The 14,212-nt window shown below is 37.5% G+C and overlaps 1 annotated feature.

Annotated features, from left to right (window-relative positions):
* Positions 5,686 to 5,873: a silencer, noted in NCBI's record as "fragment chr8:132517092-132517279 (GRCh37/hg19 assembly coordinates)". NCBI's record gives its function as "represses an EF-1alpha promoter that drives an FKBP-Casp9 reporter gene in an ReSE screen in HepG2 liver carcinoma cells {active_cell/tissue: HepG2}" and the evidence as "EXISTENCE:reporter gene assay evidence [ECO:0000049][PMID:32094911]".

Below are 14,212 nucleotides of genomic sequence, written 5' to 3' on the forward strand. Positions count from 1 at the left end.
CTCTGTCGCCCAGGCCGGAGTACAGTGGTATGATCATGGCTTATAGCAGCCTCAACCTCCTGTGCTGAAGCAATCCTATTGCCTCAGCCTCCCAAGTGGTTAGGACTATAGGCACACACCACCATGCCTGGTTAAGTTTTTATTTTTTAATTTAATTTTAATTTTAATTTTTCATAGATATGGGGTCTTGCTATGTTGTCTAGGCTGATCTCAAACTCCTTGCCTCAAGTAATCCTCCTGCCTCAGCCTCCCAAAATGCTGGGATTACAGGGGGAAGCCACCATGTTTTGCCCTAAAGAGTGCATTCTAAACATACTCTGAAGTATGGTGTATGCTTTCCTATTTGGCTTTTCTAAAACACAAATCAACACAACTAAATTGTTGTTACTATTTTGGGGGAGAAACATGACAAAAATTTAGTCGGCCAGCACCATCAGAAAAAAGAAAACAAGGCAGAATAATAAATTATTAATTTCATCAGTTTCTAATTCTTTTTTCTTTCTTTCTTTCTTTTTTTTTTTTTTTCTCTGTCACCCAGACTGGAGTGCACTGGCATGATCTCAGCTCACTGCAACCTCCACCTCCTGGGCTCAAGCAAGCCTCCCACCTCAATATCCCAAGTAACTGGGACTACAGGCACATGCCACCTTGCCCAGCTAATTTTGCATTTTTTCGTAGAGATGATATTTCGTCATGTTGTCCAGGCTGGTCTTGAACTCTTGGGCTCACACAATCCACCTGCCTTGGCTTCCCATAGTGTTGGAATTATAGGCATGAGCCACAGCTCACACCCTACTATTTGTTTATTTCATTTCATTTGGTAAATTTCTGTTGAACAATTTATATGTGTATGATGTCTTCATCATTTAGAGAGGTATCAGGGAAAAAAAGGACAATCAAACATCATATGATTAAAAAGTATCCTATCTTAGCATACACAGGCAAAAAATATTTGTAGTCCATTTCTTAATATTCTCTTATGCCCATTTAATTTCCTCAGATGTACTTTTTTCATCTTTTCAATGCTTTCCAACATAATTCCAGTGTAATATCTATAAGCAATATAAGGATAGTAACAAAAATAAAATATATTATTTTGCCCTAGTTCTGAAAAAGTGGAGGTTTACTTTTTATTTACTATAAAAATATTTTTAACATATTAGTATTACATTCTACCCCAATGTAAAGTGAAAGTGTGCAACTCTGTTCTTTTTCTTTCTGCTGTTAAAATTAAAATTGCCCTCAGTAATGTGGCACTGGCATAAAAACATATAGATAACTGCACAGAATAGATTTAAAATGTAGACCCACACAAACATGGCCAATTGGCTGTTGACAGACTTTCTAAAGTAATTGTTGGAGAGAGGATACTCTAACAAATAGTGCTAGAATGGACACCTATTTGCAAAAACAAAAAAAACAAAAAAACTGAACCTTGACAGTCAGCCTCACACTATATGAAAAAATTAACTGAAAATGGATCATAGCCAGGTGTGGTGGCTCGGGCCTATAGTCTCAACTACTTGGGAGGCTGAGGCAGGTGGATTGCTTGAGACCTGGAGCTCGAGGCCAGCCTGGATAGCACAGCATGACACTCCTCATCTCAAAAACAAGAACAACAAAAAAAAAGCAGAAATAAATGGATCATAGATCTAAAAGTAAGAGCCAACAGTTAAAAGTTTCTAAAACAAATCATGGAAAAATATGTATTACCCTGAATTAGGCAAAAAAATTTTATATGTGACAAAAATAAACTGTTTTATCATTTGATAAACTGGACTTCATCAATATTAGTCACTTCTGCTCTTCAAAAGAAACTGGTAAGAAAATAAAAAGACAAACCATAGACTGAGAGAGTATACTTGCCAAAAATATATCTATAAAGGACTTATACATAGAAAATGTAAGGATCTCTCAAAACTCAAGAAAAGAAAAGAAATAAACCCATAAAGATTTATGTATGAAAAAAAGTATATGAAAAGACAATCACCATGATTTATTCACAAGTATATGTACATTACAATGAGACACCACTACACATCCACTAGGATGGCTAAATTTTTTTAAAAGACAATAACAAGTGTTGCTGAGGCTGTGGAGCATTTGGAACTCTGATATACTACTAGTGGAAATACAAAATGGTGCAGTCACTTGGAAAGTGGATTGGCAATTTCCTATACACTTAAACATACACTTATACAACCCAGAAGTCCCATCACTAGTTATTTCCCAAGAGAAATTAAAACATGTTCACAGATAGATTTTTACTCAAATGCTCATAGTAATAGTAAAAAAATAATACAAATGGCCATCACGTGGTAAGTAGGCAAACAAAGGGTGATACATCATAAAATAGAATGTCACTGAGTAACAAACAATAGCAATCTACAAATATACTCAGAAATATAATTTAATTCCAAAAGCATTATGCTAATCAAGAGTAGCCAGACGCAAAATATTATATGTTATATACTTACATTTATATAAAATTTTAGAAAAGGCAAAAATCTACTGACAGAAAGCAGATCAGTCTTTGCCAAGGGGCCAAAGATGGGGAAAAAAATGATTGAAAAGACACATGAGAAAATTTGGGAATGATGGAAATAATCTAGATCATGACTTTGGTGGTGGTTATACTAATATATCAAAACACACCAATTGGAGCATTTAAAACTGGTAAGTCTTATTGCATCCAAATTACACCTCAATAAGCCAATTAACAATTTAAAACCTGTCCTTGTAAAGGTCACTTGTATGAAGGATTTGTGTAAGCCTTTGAACCTCATAACATATTGCTATTTCCCATGAAATAAATCTGTAACTCATAAAATCTGAAATTTTAATTGGTTTCTTAACTCTCTGAGTAGCTAATAATACTTAAACTGACATATATGTTTTCTGAGAAGAATAAGTACATAGGGAATTACTTTGTTGAAACAGAGGCAGAACCAAGGAATTTCCTTCTCCTTTGTCAAAAACTCAGGTGCACAGTCATCGAGTAATCATAATCTTGACTCACGGAAACTTCTCATTATTGGTCCATGTATTTTCTTCTTTTATTATTTATGTATTTGTTTATTTGTTTTACCGTGGGTTCACCACTGGCACAGAAACTGGAACACTGTGACTAACATCTACTTATTTGATTATCTCCAATTTTAAGCCCTTGTCTCAAAATCTCCCCCCCCATCCCCCCCAAAAAAACAAGCCCCATCTAAAAATTTTGTGTTAATACTAAGATTTTTTTTGAAGAAAATGTCATGGTATTATATTCATTTGTATTTCTAAAAATGTATTGTTCTGTATTGTTCAGCTTTATTCGATTCATGAAAAGGGATATATTGTATGCCAGTTTTGCAGTTTATTTTGTACTTACTCATATACTGCTAATTATATTTTTACTCAGTATTATATCACTAAACATCCTTTATATGGTGTACATCTGTCATTTGTTAATTTAAACTTCATAATATTTCATTGTATTGTACCAAGTGGCTATTGAGAACATATCTACTTGATTATTTTTGTAAATATCTCCTGAAAAAATACACTGGAGTTCCTCTTAGATAGATACCTAGCAAGATAACTTGACCATATAATGTGTTTGTAGCTTACAAAATAATTTGTTTTTCAAAATGGATGTAGCAATTGACACTTTTGCCAGCAGTTGAGATATCCTGTCACTGTGCATCCTCTTTAACATTTGGTATTATTAAACTCTTTTATTTTTGCATTCAGAATAAGCATTAAATATTATTTTGATCTTGGTTGCAAAAAGACTGGAAATTACTAAAGTGACATTATTTGAAGATTATATGATCAACCATATTGAAACCATGAAATAATATATTCAAATAAATTATTCAAATAATAACAGATTTAAGAAAGGTGATTGAATTTAAGATCAATATGCAGATGTCAATTTCATATATAACAGAAACAAATAACTAGAAAATTGAATTTTTAAAAATCACTTAAGTAAAGCTGGCAAGGAGCACAGCTCGGAATCAAACAAGATAGTCTGACTCCAAAACCTACAGCCGAACATTTTGCAAGGACATTCATCACATCTATAACTGCTTACCCAACTAAAATAACATTCAAGAATGAGGAAATAGTGAAGATATCTTCAGAGTATCAAAAATCCAGAGATTAGACCACTCTTAGAGTCTTAGAGAACAGCAAATGACATATGTACATTAATAAGAAGGAAACAATGAATTTAGAAGAAACAAGATGCAAGATGCAATGTTGCAAAAAACAGTACCACCACCTTAGAAATACTGATAAATTATGTTGAAATCCATAATAATACCAATATAAAGTTTACTACAAGGTAAAACTAAAATAATAGATGACATTCTCTGGGAAGATGATAGGGAGATTAAAGTCATTATACTATACCAATGCAATGGGAGTCCACAAAGAAAGGAGAAAGAAAGAAAGAAGACATACTTTTTAAAAAGAGATAATTGCCGAACACTTCCCAAATTTGATAAAAGTTATTAATCAACAGATCCAAGAAGGCCAATGAATCCCAAGTAGTATACACACAAAAAGAACCTCACCTAACCACATTATGGTCACGCTGCTGAAAAACAAAAATAAAGAGAAAATACTGAATGAAGCAAGAGAGAAATAACTCATGTCTAGGAAAACAATACAGTTGACTGAACTTCCATCAGAAACAATGGAGGCCAGAAAACAATAGAATGACACATTCAAGGCAACAAAACATAAAAACAGTTTAACCAAAGTTGAGGAACTGGTCTTCTAGTTCATCTAAGTTGTTGAATTTGTGGTGTAAAGTTCATCGTATATCCTTCGTACATGTTTAATGCCTGTGGTAGCATCATCATATCCCCTACCTGGTTCCTGATACTGGTAATTTCTGTCTTCCTTCTTTTCATTTTTCTCAGTTCTGATAGAAGTTTATCAAATTTTCCTGATTTCTTTTTAACATTTGACTTTTTAAATTGAATTTCTCTATATTTTTTCTATTTTCAACATCATTAAATCACATTTTTAGCTTCATTTTTTTCCCTCTGCATTCTTTGGCTTATCTTCATCTTCCTTTTTCTGTTTCTGGAGGTAGAAGCTTAAGATATTGATTTGAGTTTTTTTCTTGTTTCTAATGAAAGCAGTTAGTGTAAATTTTCCTTTCAGCACTGCTGTAACTGTGTCCCATGAACTTTGATATAACAGGTTTTTGTTTTCTTCAGTGCTGTATATTGTTTTATTTCATTTCAGACTTCCTCTTTCATCTATGGTTTATTTAAAAGTTTGCTGTTTGCATTCCACATGTTTAAAGATTCTCTTACTGTCTTTCTGTCATTGATTTCTAAATTAATTCCATCATGTCCGGTGAATAGTTTCAATTCTTTTGAATCTGTGGAGCTTTGTTTTATGGCTTCTCACATTCTCCAGCCTGCAGACACTAACCACCTTCTCTGAAAACTCACTTTCCCCCAGGACTCCTTCCATTCTCTATTAGAAGAGCTGCTGACTGGACACTGAGCATTTATCCCTCCACTATCATCTCACTCAGGTCAAAATAGCCTTTTCAAGTTACAAATCTTATCACTCTTCATAAAAGCCTTCAGTGACTCCTCATTGCTCATAAGTCCAAGCACCAACATGGTCCCCAAATACCCCTAGGGGAAGACTGTGGCCAGTTATGTAAAGGAGAAATGGTTTTAAGCCTGCTTGACCAGTGACAGCTCCCTCAGTCTAATCATTACTGACAGCTTGCTTCAGGGAACATGCTACTGAAAGCCAGCCAGCAAGTGACACCCTCAGCTTTGCCATCTAGCCAGTCACTCTAGGCCACAGCCTCTGAAAGCCGGCCAATAAGCAACAGCCTCACCTGAAGCCTTACATTTCTAACACCAATGTCAACCCACTCCATCCCCATCAATAACATATTCCCTGGAAACAATAACAACTCCTGGCCCAAAGGCTCGATCCAAGATTAGCAGTCAGCTTTGTTTGGAGAGTTATCTGACCTATCTTGCCCTTTCTCCCTTAAGAATATGTACATATATGTATAGATACATACTTCAATATTTTCTACCAAGAATGGATGGTGTTGAGAGGTGAAGCAATCTGTTTGCAAGGGGAAGCTTGTCCTCAGGTATAGAAAGATCATGGCTTGTATTTTGATTGTATTATTAGAAGAACATTTAGATTGCTTGGATAGGGGAAGGGGTTCTTTTGGGGATTGAGTGGCGATCTCTCCCCTCCACAGGCCCTCCACAATCTGCTTTTGTCCTTGGTAGCCTCTCCTCAGCCACTTCTGATTTCCACTATATTATCCAGCTACAATGAAGCACCAGCAGTTTTTCAAATGGTTTATATTCCTTAATATCCCTACAACTTTGCTCCAGCTGCCTCCTTTGCTGAGAATACACTTGTGCAAGTTTCTGCCTGGACAATTTTTACTCATGTTGTGGAGATTAGTCCCCGTATATCACCACTTCAACGTTGTATTCCCAGGCTGTCCAATTCATGGATTATTTTCTCCTTTGTGTTGCTCCCCTAGATCTTGACCAAGTCTCTAAACCATAGTATTGGCCACATTATTTTTTGCAGTTATTTGTATTTTTCCGTATTCCTTATTAAAGTATGAAATTCTACAGGCAAAGACTCTCTCTCTCTCTCTCCCTCTCTCTTTAACCACAAGCACCTATCAAACTAGAATATTTCAATGGGATTCTAAAGTGGCTTCTTCCTTCAGTGAACAAATTCATAGACTACAGAAATATTCTAAAAAATGTACTATGAATACAAATTCAACAGCAGTGGCTAGTGCGTAGTTTCTATAAAAGATGGATGGTTTTGTGAAGTGAGATGATCTGTTTGCTAGGGGAAGTAGGAAACTTGTGCTGAGGTATAGAAAGGTCATGACTTGTATTTCAATTGTATAATTGTAAGAACTTTTAGATTGCTTGGGAAGGGGAAGGGGTTCTTTTGGGAACTATACAAAGTGATTTATCACTCTTTCTCACACACAGACAAGACAATTCCTGGAACTGGCACTGATGAAGAAGATGGCAGCAAATGGAAGATTGGAACCAAAGAGGAGCCTTGAGAAGTCAGAAGTTCTGTTCCAGTGAGTTGAATCAAGACTCAGTTTAGAACTGAGAAGAAAGAGCTCTTCTCTTGTTATGCTCTTGGGATGCCCAATGGTTCAACTACTAATAACAACTGGCCTGAATCATCCTGTCAGCTCGGCATTGTCTGAATAGCTGTTGGTGTGGTGGAGGAAGAAGTTGTTCTCTGCTTAAACATCATTGAGAGATGTATGCTTATCTACCAGCTTCCAAGCTACAGTTTAAGTTGGAAGAACATAGGCAAAAGACAATACCACCTTTCAGCTGTAGTTGCAAGAGTTATGATTACTAATCACCACCTATCAAGAAGGCAGCTAATTTTTGATACTATACAATAAAATAGGCTCTGCTTATTTTTCTTCTTTTTTCTTATTATACTTTAAGTTCTGGGATACACCTACAGAATGTGCAGGTTTTTTACATAGGTATACACGTGCCATGGTGGTTTGCTCCACCCATCAACCCGTCATCTATGAGTTGATTAGGTGTTTCTCCTAATGCTATCTCTCCCCTAGCCCCCCAACCGCTGACAGGCCCCAGTGTCTGATGTTCCCCTCCCTGTGTTCATGTGTTCTCATTGTTTAACTCCAACTTATGAGTGAGAACATGCAATGTTTGGTTTTCTATTCCTGTGTTAGTTTGCTAAGAATGATGGTTTCCAGCTTCATCCATGTCCCTGCAAAGGACATGAACTCATCCTTTTTTATTACTGCATAGTATTTCATGGTGTATATGTGCCACATTTTCTTTATCCAGTCTTTTTTCAAGTGACATTGACATTGGTCTGTTTAAATAAACTTATATTCCCATTGAGTTGATTCAATTCTTAGAAACAGTAAGTCTACATCTCACCTTGAATAGAGTAAGATGGGGTGGCAGATCCTTCTGCTTGTTAGGGGGAAATGAATTCAGAAAGCATAATGATATGGTTAGACTTTGTGTCACCACCAAAATCTCACCTTGAATTGTAATCTCCATAATCTCCACAATCTCCACATATCAAGGGAGATACCAGAAGGGGGTAATCGAATCATGGAGGCAGTTTCCCCCATGTTGCTCTTGTGACAGTGAGTGAGTTCTCATGAAACCTAATGGTTTTATAAGAGGTTCTTCCCCCTTCACTCTGCACTTCTCCTTCCTGCCGCCTTTTGAAGCAGGTGCCTTGCTTCTCCTTTACCTTCCACCATGATTGTAAGTTTCCTGAGGCCTCCCTAGCCATGTTGAACTGTGAATCAATTAAACCTGTTTCCTTTATAAATTACCCAGTCTCAGGTATTCTTTATAGCAGTATGAAAACTGACTAATATACATACATAAATACGTACACACATGCATACAAATATATGTATATGAATATAGGTATATAAATGCCTGCATATAAAGTGATAATTGCTCTAAAATAAGCAAGGTGAGCACCGTTGAAGGGATGCAGATCAGGAAGCAATTGATTTTTTTCAGAAATCAATTTTTCAAAAAGGAAGTTGATATTTAAATTTAACATTCAAGAATTGTCAGGCATATGCTTGCACTGTGGGAGAGAGATTTCTCACTGGAGTCAGAACCATGCAGAAAGGTAGGATAAGTTGAGTAATCTGTAGTTCTTCACACGGTTAGAGTCCTGAGTATACATTGAGCAGTGATGAGACGTAAATTAGAGAGGTAAGGCCCCAAGTCAAGCTCCACTTGTATCTCATTATAAAGAATACTATGGGGACCACGCAGGTTGCAAGCAGAGGAGAAACCTCATAAGATTTTACTTTTAGAAGATCACTATGCTCTCCAAATCAACATGCACATTTAACAGACTCTCCATCATAACCCAGAGAGTAGGGACTCCTGTCCTTTAAAAAAATAATAACTGCTGCACTCCAGCACGTCAGAGAAATTTTCCAAGCCTCCTTATTCCCTTACTTCCTGCCCAAATTTGTTTGTCCTATCCTAGATTCTCAGTTTTTTGTCCAGTTTTTTTTTTTTAGACAGAGTCTCACTTTGTTGCCCAGCCTGGAGTGCAGTGGCATGATCTCGGCTCACTGCAACCTCCACCTCCTGGGTTCAAGCGATTCTCCTGCCTCAGCCTCCTGAGTAGCTGGGATTACAGGCATGCACCACCAAGCCCGGGTAATTTTTGTATTTTTAGTACAGATGAGGTTTCACCATGTTGGTCAGGCTGGTCTCGAACTTCCAACCTCAGGTGATCCGCCCGCCTCAGCCTCCCAAAGTGCTGGGATTGCAGGCATAAGCCACTGTGCCTGGCCCAGTTTTTTGTCCTTTTACCAGGTTAAGTCTCTTTTTAGTTGTCTTTTCTTTGTCCTCTCAGTTTAATGTTGTTATTAGACTGACCAGATGTCCACTTTTAACTTACGCTTTCAATATCTCCTCAGAGCCACATTCTGCAACACATGGCCCTGTTGCATCCCATTTAAGGCTTGCTGGAAACCAACCCTTGTACAGGCCTTAAGCTTGTCCAGTGAATGCAAATACACATCAGCAGTGAGATTGATTGAAGAAAAATAAGACTGATGACAAGTAGAGTAACTTCTATATTTGAATTGTACTGAGCTATTATTATATCTCCCAGAGAAACATTCAAACTCAATATTATTATTATCATTTCCATTTTACAGTTTAGGAAACTGAGGCCCAGAGAGGTTAAATAACTTGTCCAAGTTTAATAGTAAATAAATGTATACCTGGGATTTGAAAAAATTGTCTAGTTAATAGATTCTCAGCTTCAATGCTGCATTTGGAGGTGATTATAGCAAAGATCCAGGGAAGAAGAGATGGTTTGATTGAGACCATGGGAGGGGGAATGGAAAGGAAAGAAGCCTTCCCTAAAAAAATCATTATTGGTAATATGCAAAACCTAGTGCCCCTCCTCCTGATGGTAGGACAATTTCAGGGAATGGTCTAAGAGAATAGATGGCCCTGGATCTCATCAGGATGAGACAGATGTAACAACAGGGTAAAGCTCACCTATAATTCAAAGAGCAGCTGGCAGTAAGCTCTTCAGTGAAAATAAAAGCAATAGCGTTTTAAAGTCCCAGACAACTGTTAGACCTCACTTCTCTCATCCATTTCTCCTCAACAAGCAGAAAGATTTCTCTAAAGCATAACAATGATCGTGCCACTCCTCTGTTTAGAACTTTTCAGTGTCACCCCCCAGGACCTTAGGACCAGCTGCAAACTTACGGGTGTGGCCTAGACTCAGATTCTCAAACTTAAATGTGCATAGAAATCGCTGTAGAACTTCGTTGTGATGCAGAGTCTGATTTAAGGGGTCTAAGGTGGAATCTGAGATTCTGTAGTTCTAACTAGTCCCATGCTGCTGGTTCTCAGAACGCACTTTTTTTTTTTTGAGACGGAGTCTTCTCTGTGCCCAGGCTGGATGGAGTGCAGTGGCACAACCTCGGCTCACTGCAAGCTCCGCCTCCCAGGTTCACGCCATTCTCCTGCCTCAGCCTCCCGAGTAGCTGGGACTACAGGCACCCGCCGCCAAGCCTGGCTAATTTTTTGCATTTTTTTTTTTTTTAGTAGAGACGGGGTTTCACCGTGTTAGCCAGGATGGTCTCGATTTCCTGACCTCGTGATCCTCCCGCCTCGGCCTCCCAAAGTGCTGGGATTACAGGCGTGAGCCACCGCGCCCGGCCCTTAGACCACACTTTTGAAGCAGCTACATTGTCTGGGGTATAAACCCGGGGTTTGTCGTCATCCACTAGGGAAATTTAGACAGGAACACAGACAAGGAGTTTAGGAGTGGAGGTTTAAAAAGCAGAAGAGAAGAGACAGAGAAATGGCTTCCTCTGTAGAGAAAGGGGTCTCCAAGCAGAAAGGACTGGCTTGCAGCAAATGTGCTGAATTTTATAGTCCAGTTTGAGCGGGCGGTGTCTGATTTACATAGGGCTTATAGATTGTTTCGATCAGGTATGATGTTCACCTAGCACATGGAGAAGGCTGGTCATCCCACCCTAATCTTATTATGCAAGTGGGCTTTCCAGTTGATCTCTGCCGTCTTATCTGCTCCTTACAATACACGTGGCTGGCAGAGAAAGGAAGATGAAGCTGCCATCTTGAAAATATCTAGTCCTTAGTTCCTGCCGGCATTCACCCATGCAAACTCCCAGTTTGCTTGTCTATGTCTGCAGCTCAAATTTACAGACTGCTCTTTGTTAGAAAATTGGGCTGCTTTTCATTAAAAATAAAAGCTTTACTGAAGACTCCCATACCCTTGCTATCTGCCTGAGTGATTTCTTCTTAACTCCTATATCACTTTGACTATCAGGGGTCAATAGTGCTTCAAACCTAATTCCAGCCCACCTCTGTAGCTTTATCTATGGACACTGTCCCTTGCAGTCCACCCACACTGAGCATCTTGTTTTCCCATGGATGCACCCACCTCTTTCCTGTCTTCATGGCTTTCTTACTCCCTCTACCAGTACTTTCTTCATCTAACTCCTTCACCTTCATCTTCACCTAGCGTCATCTCACACACCTTCAGGCTTCAGTTTAAATGTTACTATTCCCAGGAAGCCTTCTCATTTATCTAAAGCTAAATTGAGACCCATTCTTTAGCTCCAAAGTACCCTGTACTTACCACTTTGTGAGCTGAATTAGAATTACCTGTTTACTGATATATCTCCATTCTCTGTGTTATCTGTGATTTGTCATCTCCGTGTAATTTGTCTCTCATCCTCAATTCCTAGAAGAGTACCTGATACTTGATTGGTACACAATAAGTATCTGTTGAATGAATAAAATGGAAGGATAAATGTGTGTTTTTAATTGAGTTTTCCTTCACCTAAGGGCCTGTTCTTGGGTGGTGAAACCCAGTTACTGGTCGCTATTCAGGACGAGGCTCCCCGGGATAGAAAAAATGACACCACTCTGGATAGGGGTATAGTCCTAATGGTAAAAGTTTATCTTCAGAGCCACTCTTAGAAACCTAGTAGTATGAGCTGGATGGAGTCCAGTTCTTATCCTAGGCCATCTTGAAGTAGAGGAGAGGCTTGAAGAAAAGCATGGATAGGGATCACAATGGTGAATGATCCTCATGGGGAATCAAGACACTGTTTGGTTTGAAGGATAATGCCTTAGTAATACCCACAGATCAGGAACCTTAAAGGGTTGGGATGTGTCCCACCTCTATCTGGATTGATACTGGATATTTTAGGTTCCATTTCTATAGGAAAGGGCATCAGAGGACCTGTTAGTATAAAAGGGCTTGGGCAGAGGAAATAAGTTTGGGTAGGAGAAATAATTAATATTAATTTCTAATTCTTAAACGATCTCCTGGAAGGATTTTCTAACTAATAAAAATGCCCACAAAAGGAATGGGTTGCAGAGTGAGAAAAGCCACTTGCTTAAAAGTATAAATAAATTTTACTGTGGGTGGGAAATGTTTAATTAGAGAGTTTCAACCTTCAAAATGTAAATGAAGACAAAGAAAGAGAAAGGGGGAGTTTATACCATATAAGTAGTTACCTGTGACTAGCAAATATCTGGCACAAGAGAAGTGCTCATTAAATAATTCTTGAATTAAATATAAGTGACAGAAATCTTGGCAATATTAGACTTTTCTTTATTTCTATTTTAAAAAATCATTTAAGTTAAATAAAATACTAGAATTCTCTCAGGAAATAAAGAAAATTAATTTGACCTATTCAGAATTAAGTAATTCTTATTTTTACAGTATTAGCATCTATAACTATTATCTCATTTAGATTTTCATAAATAATCTAGAAAGTAGATTGTATTAGTCACGGTTCTCTAGAGGGACAGAACTAATAGGATATATATATCATATATACATATATATATTTTATATATATAAAGGGGAGTTATATATATGTAAATGGGAGTTTATTAAATATTAACCCACATGATCACACGGTCGCACAATAGGCTGTCTGCAAGCTGAGGAGAAAGGAGAGCTAGCACAGGTCCCAAAACTGAAGAACGTGGAGTCTGATATTTGAGGGCAGGAAGCATCCAGCACCGGAGAAAGATGTAGGCTAGGGGGCTAGGCCAGTCTAACCTTTTCACGTTTTTTCTGCCTGCTTTATATTCTGGCCTTGTTGGGAGCTGATCAGATGGGATTAAGGGTGGGTGTGCCTTTCCCAGCCCACTGACTCAAATGTTAACCTCCTTTGGTAGCACCCTCACAGACACACCCAGAATCACTACTTTGTATCTTTCAATACACTCAAGTTAACACTCAGTATGAACCATCACATAGATTGACCTGGCATAGGCCCAGTTTTAGGTTTTAACGTATTTATTTTCTAAAGTTACACAGCTAATTAAAGACACAAATACAATTGAAACACAGGTATTTCCGGTCCAAGACTGTCCTGCTCCCACTGTATCATGCCACTCCTTATTTCCTTGATCTAGAAACAGTTTATGGCTAGAGTATGCTAGTTCAGTATGCTGGACTAAATGCTATGGCCTGTATTGAAAGATGGTCTATGATACAGCTTTATGAAATTCATTATTGAATCTACTATAGAGATGCGGTTGAAGATATTGTTCATTAGTTTTCACTGCACATTTCTGTCTGAGTCACTTACACTTTTCTGAGCATTTTAGTCATTTTTACTGCAAGGATTTATCAAAATTATTTTCTTGTAATCCTGTTGGAGCTCTCAGAGCCTTGTATACGAATCTTCTCTACTCTTGCAGTAAGAAATATTGGACGTTTATGGAGACTAACTTTCCATTAAACTTATTCCTGCTTTATGTCATATTTGTACTCAGGTTTACTGTCCTTTCTCACCCATATTTTATTTAATCTTACCTATTTTTATTTTCTGGTATTTTATGTAATCTTATAACCTACTCAGATTTTTTCAGTAACAAGACAAATTATAGATAAATACATCATTTTATAAATATTTATTATGAATCTCTAAATGTTCATCAAGTATTTGATTATCAGATAAAGTCATTTTTAAAATTATTTTATGAAGTGTGTTAAAAATTTATTTATTTATTGATACACATTGAATATACATATTGGGGGTACATGTGATCATTTGATACATTTGTACAATCAATTTAGGTTAATTGGGATATTCATCACGTGAAGTGTTTTATCAAAAACA

Source organism: Homo sapiens, chromosome 8, assembly GCF_000001405.40.
Source record: "Homo sapiens chromosome 8, GRCh38.p14 Primary Assembly".
NCBI lineage: Eukaryota > Metazoa > Chordata > Mammalia > Primates > Hominidae > Homo > Homo sapiens.